Here is an 18112-nt window from a genome sequence, read left to right as displayed (position 1 = left end):
CCAGCCAGCAGACCAGGAAAGGGGCATCTGAGCAAGACAAAAACCATTAGACAGTAGTCACACCACTCCAATCACACACTTGTTAAAAGTAAACATTCTGCTAAACAAACTCATGACTATTCCAATAGGGGACTGATATTGTTTGGATGTGTGTCCCCTCCAAATCTCATGTTGAAATGTGATCCCCAGTGTTGGAGGTAGGGCCTGGTGTTTGGGTCATGGGAAGGGTGGGACAGATCCTTCCTGAATGGCTTGGCATCCTCTTCATAGTAATGAGTGAATTCTCATTCTGTTAGTTCACACAAAAGCTGGTTGTTTAAAGGAGCATGGCACCTCCTCCTCTCTTCCTTGCCCCTTTTTCTCTTGCTCCCTTTCTCACCTTGTGACATGCCTATTCCCACTTCACCTTCTGCCATGAGTAAAAGCCTCCTGAGGCCTCATGAGAAGCAGATGCCGGCATCAGGCTTCTTGTGCAATCTGCAGAACGGTAAGTCAAAACAACCTCTTTTCTTTATAAATTATCCAGTCTCAGGTATTCCTTCAGAGCCATGCAAAACAGACTAATACAGGGGGAAGAACTAAACTCACCTCCACTTAAACAAAAAGCATGATGGTTTTTAAGCACTGGGGTGAGAAAGTAGAAACATAATGCGATATGTTGAGAAGAGGTTGATCAACAGAACCTGTAGAGCACATTGAATTATTCCTGAATTTGCAAATGTTCTTCTCTGGAATTAGGCCATCTGTGTTTGCTAATTGGTGCCTATGGAAGTTCTCCTGCTCCCATTCCTCCACCAGAGATCGGGAGATCCATGTAAAATCTCCCTCCAAGTTTACCTTTCAAAGAGATGGTCCCCAGGTCCTGAAGAAAGATTTCTGGGTTGTAAAACTGGCAAAAGGCTTTTAAAAAATGTACATCTCAGAGAGGCAGAGCAAAGTATTACAAGTTTTTTAAAGTAAATGCTCTAAGGAGAGGGAGGCCAGTAGCATAAAGGCAGGAAAAAAGCCTGTCTAAAATTTGGTCAAGGAGAGGGAAACACTAAGTTGTCTTGGTCACACCACTGATGAAAGTGTGGCGTGGCCACACACTCCCACTCATGCAAGCAAATGTTGTTATCAAGCAAATGGTCTCATTTCCCGATGCACACATAAGCCAATAACTATGGTACTAGCTTTTGAGAAAAGAAAGGTTTAATTGCAAAACCAACCCACAAGGAGATAGGGGTCAGATTCAAATCTGTCTCCTCAATTTGGTGTCTGGGGCAAGTTTCAAAGGATCATAGAGCAAAGGATTTAAGGATGATGGCTTGGCTGAATCTGATTGAAGTCCTTTAAATTCGACCATTTACAGTAAGATTTGTTGAGGCAGATTTTAGTTCTGAATCTTCCGGGCCAATGGAACACTTGCTTCTGAAAGAGTTCCAGCATTGAACTTCTGGTCATATCCTAATCTTCTTGGTTCTGAGGGGGGAATTGTTGGTTCTGGGTGTTGTTAGAGGTCAAAGGTGTTTTTTTGTTGTTGTTGTTTGTTTGTTTGTTTTTCATTGTTCATGCCTGGGCTTCATGACTCACAGTTTTGGGCTCTGTTATACCTATAAGGTAACTCACTGTTTTGTTATCAACAGAGTAGGCTCAGTTTGGACTGGTCCTCCAACTTCAACAGGGAAGCCAAGACTTCCACCCTTGCAAGATGGTATAAAGGTGCCCCAACAACCCCATCCAGGGTTATCAAAGGAGGCCAGGTAAGGAACCAGGACTTTTATCTCCATCCAGCAGTAACAAGGCACTTCTTGGTTTGGAGCTAAAGAAGCTAGAAATCCATAAATGTCAAAAGATGCAGGAAAAGTCTTAAATCAATAATCCAAGCTCCCACATCAAGAACCTTAAAAGCAAAATAACCCCAAAGCAAGAAGAAGGAAATAAACAATAAAGACAAGGTCACAAATCAATTAAATTAACAACAGAAAAACAATAGACACAATCAATGAAATGAAGAGTTGGCTCTTTGAAAACATCAATAATATCCACAAAACTCTAGCAAGATTAGCAGAGAAAAAAGAAGAGAAGACATAAATTGCCAATGTCAGGAATGAAACAAGAATATAAGTCCTGCACATATCAAAAAGATCACAATGAAATACTACAAACAACTCTACACACGAATTTGACAACTTAGATAAAATTGACTGCTTCCTCAAATTTGTAATGTTAAAACTCTCCAAATAGAAATTTCCAGATCTAGATGGGTTCACTGGAGGATTCTACCAAACATTTAAAGAAGAACTAACATTTCTACACAATCTTATCCAGACAGTAGAAAAGGGGGAAACACTGCCCAAATTTTTGTTGTAAATGTTGCATAAGGCTGTACCAAACCAAACAAAACAAAAAACTGCAGACCCCTATTCTTAATGAATATAAATTCAAAAATCCTTAACAAAATAGAATTTGGCAATATATTTTTTTAAAAAGTGTACATCGTGATCAAACGGGGTTAATTCCAGGGATGCAGGGCTGGTTTAAAATCTATCAATGTAATCTACCATATGATCACATCACTTAATAAAGAAAAAGAACTGGACAAAATTAAACATGTATTTATAAAGGCTTTAAAATATATGAAGGAAACTTCCTCAACTCATTAAGAGCACCTATCAAAAAAACAATACTTATTATTATTTTTATCAGTGAAAACCTGAGTGCTTCCCTCTACATGTAGGAACAATGTGAGATGGACACTCTCACTACTCTTTTTCAACAGAGTCTAGAAATTCTAATCAGTATAACAAGAAAAGAAAAGAAAATACATACAAATTGAAAGGAAGAAATAAAACTGCTTCTATTTTCAGATGACATCATGGCCTTTGTAGAAAACATGAGGAACCTACAAAAACTCCTAGAACTAATAAGTAAGCTCAGCAAGGTCATATGAATAATGTAAATGTCAAAAAATGTATTTTTACAAACTAGCAATGAACATTTTGATATCCAAAATTAAAAATACAATACCACTTACATCACTCAAAAAATAAAATACTTAGGTGTAAATCAAACAAAATAAGTACAGGACTTGTATGCTAAAAACTATATAATACTGATGAAAGAAATAAAAGAAGATCTAAATAAAAGAAGAAAGGATGACTCAGCATTGTAAAGGTACTATTTCTCCCCAAATATATATACAGGTTTAATGCAATTCCCATTAAAAATATCAGCAAATATTTTGTAGATAAATAAAATATTATTCTAAAATGTATATGGAAAGACAAATGAATTGGAATAGCTTAAATAATTATTAAAAAGAAAGTGTATTTGGAAAGATCATTCTACAATTTTAAGACAATATTTAGCTACAGTATTCAAGACTATGTGATACAAGCCAAGAGATAGAGCCACAGGTCAATAGAACAGAACAGAGAGCCCCAGAATTGACCCACACAAATATGATCAAGTGATATTTCTATGAAAGTACAAAAGTAATGTAATAAAAGAAAGATTTTTTTTCAACAAATGGGTGCTAGAAAAACTGGACATCAATGGGCAAAAAAAAAAAAAAAAAAAGGAAAGAAGGGAGGAAGGGAAGAAGGAAGGGAGGGAGGGAGGGAGAGAGGATCGATGGAAGGAAGGAATAAGTGTATCAATCTTGATCTAAGTCTCACATTTCACACAAAATTAAATAAAAATGAGTCATGGACTTAAATGTAAAAGGTAAACCTGTACAACTTTTTGAAAAAAGAAAAAACCTGGGAGAAAAGTCTTTAACGTCTAGGGATAGGCAAATAGTTTATAGACTTGACATCCAAAGCACAATCTATTTAAAAAAATCAATAAATTGAGCTTCATCAAAATTTAAAACTTTTCCTTCACAGACGACCCTGTTAAGAAGATGAATAGACAAGTTGGAGAGTGGGAGAAATATTCACAAACCACACAATCCATCAAAGGTCTGGTATCTAGAGTATATAAAGAGTTCCCAAAATGCAATAGGCAAAACAACACAGTCCAATAAGAAAATGGATAAAACTCTTGAAGAGACATTTCACTAATGAAATGATGAACTAATGGCAATGGTGGTTTTGGTGGTGGTGATTAAATAATAAAGTGATGGCAAATACACACAGGCGAAGATGGTCAACACCATAAGCCATCAGGGAACTTGCAAACTAAAGCAACAGTTCAGTATCACTAAACAACTATCAGAATGGCCAAAGCAAAACATAGTGACAATGCCAAATACTGGCAAGGATGTGAAGAACCTGGATCATCATTCATTGCTGGTGGGAATGTAAAATGGTACAGCCACTCTGGAAACAGTTTGGTGGTTTCTTAACATGTAACCACACAACTACAATACAAGCCAGCATTTGCAATCCTGGACATTTATCCCAGAGAAATTAAGACAGGTTCCACAAAAACCTGTTGACAGATGTTCATCAGAACTTTATTTTTAATGGCCAAGCTCTGGAAACATTATGTCCTTCAATGGGTGAGAGGTTAAACAAACTGCAGTACGCCCAAGACCAAGGAACATTACTGAACAGTAAGTGGGAACAAACTACTGATATGTGCAACAAACTGGGTGACTCTCCAGAGAATTATGCTCAGCGAAAAAAAGCCATTCCCAAAAGGTTGTATACTGTATGATTCCATTTATATAACATTTTTGAAATCACAAAATTATAGAAATGAAGACAGTGTAGTGGTTTCCAGTGACTCAAGAGGAGGTTAGATGGTAGAGAAGTAGGCTTGGCTATGTGAAAGCTCAAAATGATAAATTGTTCTGCATCCAGACTGCATCAAATCAGTATCCAGGTTGAGATACAGTCCTATAGTTTTGCAAGAAGTGACTATTGGAGGAAACTGGGTAAAAGGGTACTCACGATCTCTCTGTATTATTTCTTACATTGCATGTGAATCTACAGTTGTCTCCAAACAAAAAGTATTACAAATAAATAAATAGTTACATTCACAAAAGCAAGTCCAACTTCTCATTTAATCTTTATGTTCAGTATTTTAAAACTTTACTAATTTTTGTTTTATTTCATCATCATAATTACCTCATTTTAAGAAAATGCATTTTTCTCACATGCTCCAACACATCTACAGTTTAAGCCAAGAGTCATACAAAAATTATAACTTACGTAAAGTCTGTGACATAAAACAAGATGGGAAACTGACTAAAGACTTCACTTAAACAACAATAATGAAACAACAGTAACCATTGTTGAATAATTAGACTCCACTAAAATTTCAGTGTGCTTTTCTCAATTAATCTTCAAAAAGAACCTACATGAAAGCTATTACCATTCTTATTGTTTTGATGAGGAAACTAATACTAACAAAGTTAATTAAATTGCTCAGGAATTGGATTAAGATCTATTGTTAAACACTTGAAATTTTCAAAGTATAATTTTTTAACATGAAATTTTCTAATTTTCCAACTTTACCTACTATTTATTTACTTATTTATTTAAACACAAGACTCTCTCTTTATATAGGGCAAAGAAAACCATGTCTGTGCACACGATTTCAGATCCAGGCCAACAGTTTGCAACTTCTGCAATAAGCAATGGAAAATTTCTTAGATGATCGAGTGTGCTCTCAGGTGCTCTCTTACCCACAATTCCAAAATTCAAGAGGCTCTCAAAACAGATGGTTTTTGTCTGTTTGTTTGTTTTTCCATAAATTCACAGTAAACTCGTTTGCCTACAAAGCTGCACTTGAATTGATATAAGCCTATTTTAAATTTTTATTTATTGTTAGTGTTTATCTCTTTTAATACAGAAATGTTAATTTATTTGATTTTGGGACATTATCCTACTCTTGCTGATCCATACTATATAACACATATATGTTTCATATTACCTTTCTAAAACTGCCCCCATCTTCTAAGTTCTGAAGCCTAAATTACAACTACTCCAAAGAAGTTTGGATAAAAGACTGTGAAACTGCCTTAGAAAAATCACTGGTGGCATTGTGAAAGATAGACGGTCCTTTCCTGAATCATTAAATTTCCCAACAATCCTCTTTTATTAAAAGCCAAGTCTTTCCTCTGCCCATCCATCGTCTATTTACTCAACAAATATTTGCTTAAAACAAAACAAAATCGTGATTGAACCTTTACTACCTGTCAGACATTGTATAGGGCACTGGAGATACAGAAATGAATGATTTTTCATTTAATCCAAAGACTTATGGGGAGACTGCACGGGGGCCAGTTAGGCAAACACACACTTAAAATACCCCCAAATAGATAATCTGTGAAGTATATACAAATGACCTGATAATGAGTCATTTGAGTGTTGTTTTAAAAAATAGAGACTCGCCAAGGCGGGCGGATCACGAAGTCAGGAGATTGAGACCATCCTGGCTAACACGGTGAAACCGCATCTCTCCTAAAAATAAAAAAAAAAATTAGCCGAGCGTGGTGGTGGGCCCCTGTAGTCCTAGCTACTCGGGAGGCTGAGGCAGGAGAATGGTGTGAACCCGGGAGGTGGAGCTTGTAGTGAGCTGAGATCATGCCACTGCACTCCAGCCTGGGCGACAGAGAGAGACTCTGTCTCAAAAAAAAAAAAAATTGAGACTCACAGTATTAATTTGTATGAAAATATAACCAGCCAAAGCACTAGTAAAGAATGTAGCTGAGGCATGAGAAGAAATTTGGGAAACTATTAGATGGAAATTAAAATGACTGTGTCAGGAGGGGGCCAGCTAAGCTGAAACAGGAGGAGGTTGCCGGCTGGAGATTTGTTACAGGCAGAGCATTAGAAGAAGAAAGAGGCTAGAGTAAGGATAGGAAGAGATTCTACTTTCAAGCAGATTAGAACTTAGTAGCTTATAAAATGATTTTTGTATCATAAGTTCCTAATACAGTAAAAGCTTATTAATTCGGACTAAAAAGGGATTAGATTTGTTAGCCACCTTTCTGATTTTTTTTATTCTAAAGTATTAATTGTGGGGGGAAAATATGTAGTCATTAGATCTTCAGAGGCTAATAGAGAGTTTCAGCAATTTTGACTTCCAAACATGTGACTATAGAATCCAAGGTACTAACTAAACTTTGCTTGTTGAATAACCTTCACTGCCTGCGTTCAGAATCTACACGTTCCATGGTATTTCTGTCACCTTCTGGTGTTAGATGCAGGGACTGCTGATTCAGTCTGAGTCGTAGCAGCCAGGGATGATGCTTAATGGTTTTATAAAGTATCACAGCATCAGTATTCTGTCCCTGTATGAAAATCTAGTGTTTGCTTGTTCCCATCAGGGAGTCTCTCTTCCTGTAAAATACCCACTGCCACTACTTAAAGCAGAAGGCTAATGGCACAGAATGGAAGACAATCACCCAGGAAACTCCAGACGGTATTAGGGAGCAGTAAAAAGCTGTTCTGAGCGTCCAAGGCAATTGTCATTGTCCCTGTATTCTTTGACATCAAGTCATTATTTTCAACCGCATTGTGAATTGTCTTTATTTTCCTAGAGCACTCATCAAAAAAGGCTCACTTCTGAAGGTTATGAGCAGATGCTGAGATTTAAAAACCTCAAATAAAGACTTCCAGATACAGAGAAGTTTGCCTCAAAAACCAGGGTTACCTCCAGTTTCCAAAAGCCTATAGTCCCTGCCAAAAAAAAAAAAAAAAAAAAAATGGCCTAAACAAATTAGCAAACGCATGGTAAAAACTTGTGTGCACTTGAACTAAACTAACTTTACTTATACGAGGTTTTAAAGGTCTAATTTCTTTTTAATTAAAGAAAGGGAGGTGATTGTAAGAGGCTTATGCATCTGGAAATACACAAGTCACCAAAGCCATTTCAGGAAAGGGCTTTAACCTACATCCACCACTCACCTGCTCCCATACCTCACCATGGAAAATTGCAATCGAGGCATTTTGTTCCAATAATCTTGTTTTGTTTTATTTGTGTTTTTTACTTCAAATTTGCTTCTCCTGTTATTCTTTATCTTTGTTTAATCTTTTTTTAATGGAATCTTTGCCCTCTGGAACAGTGAGGCTATGTCAGGAAAAAAAAAGAAAATAAATAAGAAATCTTTCTATGTCTTTCAAACGGAGGAACTGCATTCAAAGAAATTGGTTATTTAGGTGTTAGAAAAAATAAAGAGCCGAAGATAATGGCGAGGTGACCCAGAGATTAGCAAGAGCAGGAAGGTGCGGTCACACCAGGGTTGTGCAATGACAGGAGGAATTGGTGATTTAGAACCTAGAAGCCAAGCACATCCCGGGAGTGAAAACTATAGCAAAGGTATCAGTATATTAGTCCCCCCTTATTCATGGTTTTCCTTTCTGTGGTTTCAGTTACCCAAGGTCAACTGCAGTCTGAAAATATTAAATTAAAAATTCCAGAATAAACATTTAATAATTTTGAATTGCGCACCATTTTGAGCAGAGTGATGAAATCTCAAGGTGTTCATTACCATCCCACCCAGCTCATGAATCTTCCTTTTGTTTGCCCGTTTATTCACGTGGTCTGTGCTACTTTCCTGTTAGTCACTTAGGGAGCCCTCTGGGTTATCAGATAGCCTGTTGGTATAGCAGTGCACTTGTTCAATTAACCTTTGTTTTACATAATAATGGGCCCAAATCGCAAGAGTAGCGATGCTGGTAATTTGGATATGCGGAAGAGAAGTTGTAAAGTGCTTCCTTTAAGTGAAAAGGTGAAAGTTCTTAAGAAAAGGAAAAAAATATCTATGCTGAGGTTTCCAATGTTCACACTAAGAATGAAACTTCTAGCCATAAAATTTTGAAGAAGAAAAGAAAAATTTGTGTTAGTTTTGCTGTTGCACCTCAAAATGCAAAACTTATGGCCACAGTGTGTGATAAGTGCTTAGTTAAGATAGAAAAGACATTAAATGTGTTAGTGGAAGAAATATATTCAATTGACAGCAATTGGGTTCAGTACTACTCATAGTTTCACATATCCACTGAGGGTGTCAGAACGTATTCGCCATGGATAAGGGGAAACTATGGTACCATAGAGGGAAGGTTTTTCCAGTGGGAGATGGAACTGAAGCAGCATCATTGTCTGGGGTAAACACCTGGGGTCTGTCATCTCGGACCAAGAAGATAACGACGCTGACACATGTGGATGGGTTAAGGAGCGGAAAGCTTAATAGGCTGAAGAAAGGAAAGAGGACAGCCGTTCTCTGTCTCTGTCGCAAGAGAGAGGCATCGGAAAGGAAAAAGCCCACCTGCAAGGGATCACAGTAGATTTTATAGGCAGGCTTGAGGAGGTGGTGTCTGATTTACATAGGGCCCACAGATTGGTTCAATCAGGTGTGAGTTTACATAGTGCACCTACCCTAATCTTATTATTATGCAAATAGGCTTTCTACTTGGCCAGCACCATCTTATCTGCTCCTTACTGTACATGTGCTGGCAAAGAGAAGATGGAGCTGCCTTTTTTTTTGAGACAGAGTCTCGCTCTGTCACTCAGGCTGGAGTGCATTGTTGCCAACTTGGCTCCACCTCCCGGGTTCAAGCCATTCTCCCGCCTCAGCCTCCTGAGTAGCTGGGATTACAGGCATGCGCCACCACATCCAGCTAATTTTTGTGTTTTTAGTAGAGACAAGGTTTCACCATGTTGGCCAGGCTGGTCTCGAACTCCTGACCTAGTGATCCGCCGGCTTCGGCCCCCCAAAGTGCTGGGACTACAAGCATGAGCCACTGTGCCCGGCCAGAGCCATGATTTTTAACATGCCTGTTCCCAGTTAGGCTTTTCCTATTGGCACAACTGCCGGCATTTGCCTGTGCAAGTTTCCAGCTTGCTTGTCTATGTCTGCAGCTCAATTTAACAAGCTGCTCTTTGTTAGAAAAGAAAATTACTTGGGGGCTGCTTTTTATTAAAAGGAAAACCTTACTGAGGACTCCCGTGCCTTATCTGCCTAAGTAAGTTCTTCTTAACTCCTATATCAGAACCAAAGAGGAGACCCAGTCCCTCATGCAGATGACATCAGAAACAGAAAGGAAGGAAAGACATCCCAGTTGTCCCCTTCTCCTGCTCTCCAGTATTCTGCCAGTGCCTCCCACAGCCCAAACCCAATTGGAGGCCAGGAAGCAAAGTAAATGCACTAACCTGTGGCAAAAAAATAAAGCAAGGGAAAGGAAGGCAATGAATCTGAGAGCAAAGAAACAGCTGACCTGCAACCCTTCATATGGTGTTTTCCCATGTATCTTCACTTGATGACAAAATACTGGCGAATCTACTTGATAATATCTTAATGATGTCAATTCACTATTTCTCCATTCACAAAGATGTGTTTATATATTACAAGAGTCAGAAAATGTTGGTGAGTCTCACTGAATTCTTTTTTTCTTCCATGTGTATGCTGTTCTTTGTGAAAAAGCCACTGCATTGTTTCAAATATCTCTGAGAAGTTTTCATGGAGCTGCTCCAAACAGCTTAAGACTTGTTCAGAATCAGTCACTCTCCAAAATTTCCTAACCAGGGCCACTGATGTTGCTCTTTATGCTGAAAGATAACTATCATCAAGGACAGGAAACCCATCAGCCTGCTATAAACTTTGTTACAGAGTTCTCTGAGACCAAACCAAAATTACTACCTAGGACCTTGAACCTGAGCCTAAGTCAGTTTGACAGCAAAATACTTTAAGAGGTTGAAAGTTAATCATTTTCTGTGATCCCTTTCATCACAGTAATTCTTAGTCATCAAACAGGGTAACCTTCCCAGTAAATTATTTTCTTCTATAACTCTGCTTTTCTTCCCTAACTCTTTTTTCTGTAACTCTAAGTCTTATATTCTAAATCCTCCTCAACCTCTAAATTTCACAAATGGCTTTCTCTGTCTTCTATTTTAACAGAAATGAGGTTCTTATTCAACTCCTCTCCAGTGCGGACCAATCATTTACCCACAGCCTATTAGTTGTGATGAGGGAATCCACACTTGTGTTCCAACTACTGGACCATCATTTTTCTTCTCTCTGATTAAAGTTCATCCTACTCTCTAGTGGCAACTGTCCCCTCAGTCTCTGAAATTTGCTTAAGGCCATGAAAGAAGGATCCCAATCAACCCCTACACAAACTACTTCTTATTATACTCCTAGTAGATTTTATTCTGTTGATTTGGGGTGGAGAGTTCTGTAGATGTCTATTAGGTCCGCTTGGTGCAGAGCTGAGTTCAATTCCTGGGTGTCCTTGTTAACTTTCTGTCTCGTTGATCTGTCTAATGTTGACAGTGGGGTGTTAAAGTCTCCCATTATTAATGTGTGGGAGTCTAAGTCTCTTTGTAGGTCACTCAGGGCTTGCTTTATGAATCTGGGTGCTCCTGTATCGGGTGCATATATATTTAGGATAGTTAGCTGTTCTTGTTGAATTGATCCCTTTACCATTATGTAATGGCCTTCTTTGTCTCTTTTGATCTTTGTTGGTTTAAAGTCTGTTTTAGCAGAGACTAGGATTGCAACCCCTGCCTTTTTTTGTTTTCCATTTGCTTCGTAGATCTTCCTCCATCCCTTTATTTTGAGCCTATGTGTGTCTCTGCACATGAGATGGGTTTCCTGAATACAGCACACTGATGGGTCTTGACTCTTTATCCAATTTGCCAGTCTGTGTCTTTTAATTGGAGCATTTAGTCCATTTACATTTAAAGTTAATATTGTTATGTGTGAATTTCATCCTGTCATTATGATGTTAGCTGGTTATTTTGCTCGTTAGTTGATGCAGTTTCTTCCTAGCCTCGATGGTCTTTACAATTTGGCATGATTTTGCAGTGGCTGGTACCAGTTGTTCCTTTCCACGTTTAGTGCTTCCTTCAGGAGCTCTTTTAGGGCAGGCCTGGTGGTGACAAAATCTCTCAGCATTTGCTTGTCTGTAAAGTATTTTATTTCTCCTTCACTTATGAAGCTTAGTTTGGCTGGATATGAAATTCTAGGTTGAAAATTCTTTTCTTTAAGAATGTTGAATATTGGCCCCCACTCTCCTCTGGCTTGTAGAGTTTCTGCCGAGAGATCCGCTGTTAGTCTGATGGGCTTCCCTTTGTGGGTAAGCTGACCTTTCTCTCTGGCTGCCCTTAACATTTTTTCCTTCATTTCAACTTTGGTGAATCTGACAATTATGTGTCTTGGAGTTGCTCTTCTCGAGGAGTATCTTTGTGGCATTCTCTGTATTTCCTGAATCTGAATGTTGGCCTGCCTTGCTAGATTGGGGAAGTTCTCCTGGATAGTATCTTGCAGAGTGTTTTCCAACTTGGTTCCATTCTCCCTGTCACTTTCAGGTACACCAATCAGACGTAGATTTGGTCTTTTCACATAGTCCCATATTTCTTGGAGGCTTTGTTCGTTTCTTTTTATTCTTTTTTCTCTAAACTTCCCTTCTCGCTTCATTTCATTCATTTCATCTTCCATTGCTGATACCCTTTCTTCCAGTTGATCATATCGGCTCCTGAGGCTTCTGCATTCTTCACGTAGTTCTCGAGCCTTGGCTTTCAGCTCCATCAGCTCCTTTAAGCACTTCTCTGTATTGGTTATTCTAGTTATACATTCATCTAAATTTTTTTCAAAGTTTTTAACTTCTTTGCCTTTGGTTTGAATTTCCTCCTGTAGCTCGGAGTAGTTTGATCCTCTGAAGCCTTCTTCTCTCAACTCGTCAAAGTCATTCTCTGTCCAGCTTTGTTCCGTTGCTGGTGAGGAACTGCATTCCTTTGGAGGAGGAGAGGGGCTCTGCTTTTTAGAGTTTCCAGTTTTTCTGCTCTGTTTTTTTCCCATCTTTGTGGTTTTATCTACTTTTGGTATTTGATGATGGTGATGTACAGATGGGTTTTTGGTGTGGATGTCCTTTCTGTTTGTTAGTTTTCCTTCTAACAGACAGGACCCTCAGCTGCAGGTCTGTTGGAGTTTGCTAGAGGTCCACTCCAGACTCTGTTTGCCTGGGTATCCGCAGCGGTGGCTGCAGAACAGCGGATTTTCGTGAACTGTGAATGCTGCTGTCTGATCGTTCCTCTGGAAGTTTTGTCTCAGAGTAGTACCCAGCTGTGTGAGGTGTCAGTCTGCCCCTGCTGAGGGTTGCCTCCCAGTTAGGCTGCTTGGGGGTCAGGGGTCAGGGACCCACTTGAGGAGGCAGTCTGCCCATTCTCAGATTTCCAGCTGCGTGCTGGGAGAACCACTGCTCTCTTCAAAGCTGTCAGACAGGGACATTTAAGTCTGCAGAGGTTATTGCTGTCTTTTTGTTTGTCTGTGCCCTGCCCCCAGAGGTGGAGCCTACAGAGGCAGGCAGGCCTCCTTGAGCTGTGGTGGGCTCCACCCAGTTCGAACTTCCCGGCTGCTTTGTTTACCTAAGCAAGCCTGGGCAATGGGGGGCGCCCCTCCCCCAGCCTCGCTGCCACCTTGCAGTTTGATCTCAGACTACTGTGCTAGCAATCAGCAAGACTCCATGGGCGTAGGACCCTCCGAGCCAGGTGCGGGATATAATCTCCTGGTGTGCCGTTTTTTAAGCCCGTTGGAAAAGCGCAGTATTAGGGTGGGAGTGACCCGATTTTCCAGGTGCTGTCTGTCACCCCTTTCTTTGACTAGGAAAGGGAACTCCCTGAACCCTTGCACTTCCCGAGTGAGGCAATGCCTTGCCCTGCTTTGGCTCGCGCACGGTGCACTACACCCACTGTCCTGCGCCCACTGTCTGGCACTCCCTAGGGAGATGAACCCGGTACCTCAGATGGAAATGCAGAAATCACCCGTCTTCTGCGTCGCTCACGCTGGGAGCTGTAGACCAGAGCTGTTCCTATTCGGCCATCTTGGCTGCCCTCTCATTGATTTTAATATCTGTGAATATGAGATATTCCAAATCTGGTCGTAATAGTAAATGACCTCTCATTCCTCTCCTCTTCATGGACTCGCTACCCCATCCCTTGTTCACACATATTTGTGCATATTTGTTCACATTGTTGTTCACGTATATTTGTGCATATATCCGACACTACTCTTTTAGCTCTTTGAGGAAAAAAAACTTTCTCTTATTAGTTTCTGTATTCCAGACCTGATATAACTATTCCCTGCACATGGTAGGAACTCCATCATGAAGTCAACTGGAATCTTCTCTCATTATATGAACAGAATATATAGATCAAGTAGGCAGATGCCTTATAATAGTTCCTTTACAAGGCTAAGTTTTTTGTGTGTATAAAAGTTTACACTCAGGGAAAAATAAAGTTCACTATTAATTGTTTTTGTCTTTGTGAAATTGGGTTATATTTTTCTGTTTGGTCACAGAGAAATTGACATGGCAGTAGGTGAGCAAAAGAGAATATTTCAGACCCAAGGGAAAAGACCGATTACATTTTCTTAGTATCCTCTTGCTATCAGGTGCTCTAACCATCTTACAAGGAACTTATAATTGGAAATAACAATTTCATGTAGCCTGTTACGTATCCATATTTTCCCCCTGGTAATTATTGCATATATCTTATGTCACTTATGTAGATGACAGGTAGGTAGGACTAACCTGCTGCACAGATTGTTTGGCTCTGGGACATGTGTTGAAAAACAATGCAACCTGAGGAGTTACTGTGGACCCCTGCTGAGCACACTGTGTTTGCTGGAGTTTCCCCTAATGGTGCTTGTCAAGGACCACTAACATTTTGGCAAGGATGTTCCAACAATAACACCTCTTCTGAATAAAAGTGCAGGAAAAAGGTGGCAGTTCTAAAAACAGAAAATGGTGTTGCTTTGTCAATGTGCTTTTTTTGTAGGGTTGGGGAGGGCAAGGTTGTCATTCAGCACATCTTCTTTTATTTACGTTTTTCATTCCCAATAAATCAGGTCCAAAGTCGCATCTAAGAAGAAACAACAGCTTCCATTTCTTAAAGGATTAATATTATCGCATTATTTCATTCATCCCTTGTATTAGTCTGTTCTCACACTGCTAATAAAGACATACCTGAGACTGGGTAATTTACAAAGAAAAAGAGGTTTAGTGAACTCACAGTTCCACATGGCTGAGGAGGCCTCACAATCATGGCGGAAGGCGAGAAAGGAGCAAAGGCACGTCTTATATGGTGGCAGGCAAGAGAGCATGTACAGGGGAACTGCCTTTTTTTTTTTAATCAGATCTCATGAGACTTATTCACAATCATGAGAACAGCATGAAAAAAAACCTGCCCCCATGATTCAATTACCTCCCACTGGGTCCCTCCCATGACATGCGGGGATTATGGGAGCTATAATTCAAGATGAGATTTGGGTGGGGACACAGCCAAACCATATCATCCCTTAATAACAACCCTGTAAAATAGATACAATCATTAGTTTTACTACCATTTTACTACCATTTTACAGATGAAGATGCAGATGTTAAGAATCTTGCCGGGGGTTATCAAGTTAACAAGTTACTGAACTAGGATTTAACATTAGGTTGTCTGTCTACTCCTTATCGTTAAGCTATACTGCCTCATAGAACAGGCATCTATAGAATTTGCTCCCTGTGACATTAGCCCCTGCTCTTAAATCCAGCCATCCAGCCTTGTACCATTCTATGGAGATATTCGTTAAAAGTTGCTTTATTGTAAAACAAAGAAATTCTTAGGCCGTGCAGCAGTCCAGGACCAAAATCTGTTTATGCCACACTTGCAGTTCCTGGCATTAAATGTATCCTATTGAACTCTTCATTGAGATAATGAATTCAGGCTTTTCATTCTGGTTCTCTGGGCCTTCCCAACATGCAGCTATATACACTCAACATATCGGAGTACCTGGCGATGCTTCAGGTGAAACACAGTCTTCTACCAAATTGGCTATATCCTGAAGGCCCAGGACAGAGCCAGGCACTTAGTGTTCACTCAACAAAATGCACTGAATGAATGCATAAATCTTCTCCTTTCAAAATTAAAGAAATAAGGTGCTGATGCCCAGCTCTAGCAAAATGCTGTGCTGTTTGACATTCTAAGATAATTTTTTAACCTCTGATTTAATTTGCAAGGGATCAATGATAACTAGAATTTGAAAAATAGTGTTTTTTATTTTTAACTTGGACCATCTTGTATGAAATATTCTACTCACTATTGATTCATTTAAACAAAGTTAGCAAATTTAATTTTTCTCTGGCTCTAAAACATCCCAATGCCAAAGTTATAAAATAGGACTTCCAGCCGGGCATGGTGGCTCACTTCTGTAATCCAGCACTTTGGGAGGCCAAGGCAGGCGGCTCACAAGGTCAGGAGATCGAGACCATCCTGGCCGACATAGTGAACTCCATCTCTACTAAAAAAATACAAAAATCAGCCATGCGTGGTGGCGCATGCCTGTAATCCCAGCTACTCAGGAGGCTGAGGCAGGAGAATAGCTTGAACTAGGGAGTTGGAGATTGCAGTGAGCCGAGATCACGCCACAGCACTCCAGCCTGGGAGACGGAGCAAGACTCTGTCTCAAAAAAAAAAAAAATAGAACTTCCACTTATTTGTTTTTAACTATAACCCTCTGGGAGTCTATATGCCTCCAGTGTATTTTATCTTATAGTGATGGTATCCAAAGTCCCTTTCAAACATGAGATTATAAGAGAGTCTATAATCAACAATACTTTGTCCTGTAAAAATATGGAGTATGAAAATTTTAAGCACACAGAGTTTCAAAAGTTAGTATTCACTACTTGGAAATGGCCAGTGGCAACCCAACCAATAGAATATAATAGGTGTTGGGGCTGAATAGCTATTATATTCTCTAAGCACTGCAGTGGAAATTTTCAAAGCAATATCTTGTTTAGTCCTCAAAAATATTCTGAAGCCCAGATATTTAAATTATCAGAGTCTTTAATAACACCTTCTCTGCCTATAAGTTCTCCTAAAGGCTGGAATAAAATATTGTTCTCATTTCACATCACTGTCTGAGGCCATCATTTTAAGTTCCATCTCATAAGACAACTAAATATGTTTCCTGATGACTTTGTTAGCTCCTTTGTTTTGGGTGAAGGTTTTATTTTTGCCTTGCTACTTGAAATTATTGTTTCATTCTATCCACACCATACATTCAAAAACTCCATAATCATTCTTTCATTCATATACTATTTGATTCCATACTCTGCATCAGGCACTGTACCAGTTACTTGGGACACAATGATGCACAAAACCACACATGGATTTTTTCCTCTTGGAATTTACTGTCTAATGGGGGAGATATATATTATTCAAAGCACCACAAAAATAAAGGTAAAATTGCAATTCTGTTTAGTACTATGAGATAGAAGTTGATGATGAAATACGAATATATTTTTTAAATCTTGAATTTTCCTTTCTAGTAATCGTGGACTGGCATGCAGCAGATGAAGCTCTGAATATTGACTTGAAGTCATGAGAGCTATCAAGGCAGCCAAACTTGAGGGACTAAGATCTGGAGAGATGACAAACTGAGATAAGCCCAAATTCTACTCAATTTTCTCCCTTGAGTTTTGCACTAACTTGTATGGACATAGGTCAAGAAAAGTTTCACAAAAATGAGAAACCAAGAGGCAGAAGAATGACAAAGCAGCTTCATAATGATGAGACTATAAAAGCTGGTGAAGGGTCCCAACAAGGGATAACGGCACTTATGAATACATCAGGCTTTCAGTTAGGAAACCCTAAAAGACCAAACCCTGGAAGTAAGGACGAGTTATAAAAAGATAAGTCTCTACAGAGATTATAATCTTGCCCAGAAACAGGTAAAGCCTCTTCAATTTCGTGTGGCCAATAACCATCATTCAATGAAATATTAATAGAAATCCCAAGAGAAAGGACTAAAAGAAAAAGTACTAACCATAGCAAGAGACTCACAGGTGATCCAGGTATTATGACTGTCAAGCAAAGACTTAAATAGCTTATTAATATCTTCAAAAATAAGAGGCAAGATAAAGAATACCATCAGAGAACTGGAATCTATAAAAGAATCAAATGGAAATTATAGATGTGGACCTAGCAATTATTGAATTTCAGAACTCAGTAAAATGGGTTTAACAGCCGATTAGACACAGGTGAATAGATCAGTGATTTGGAAAAGATGTCAGTAAAACCATCCTTAAACTACAAAGGGGAAAATGGACGAAATATAAATAAAATAGAGTAAAGGGGCATGAAAAGGACGAATATATGTGTAATGAAAAACCTAAAAAGGAAAGAAAGAGAATGT

Source organism: Homo sapiens, chromosome 16 (genome assembly GCF_000001405.40).
Source record: "Homo sapiens chromosome 16, GRCh38.p14 Primary Assembly".
Lineage (NCBI taxonomy): Eukaryota > Metazoa > Chordata > Mammalia > Primates > Hominidae > Homo > Homo sapiens.
This window is presented reverse-complemented; position numbering follows the sequence as displayed.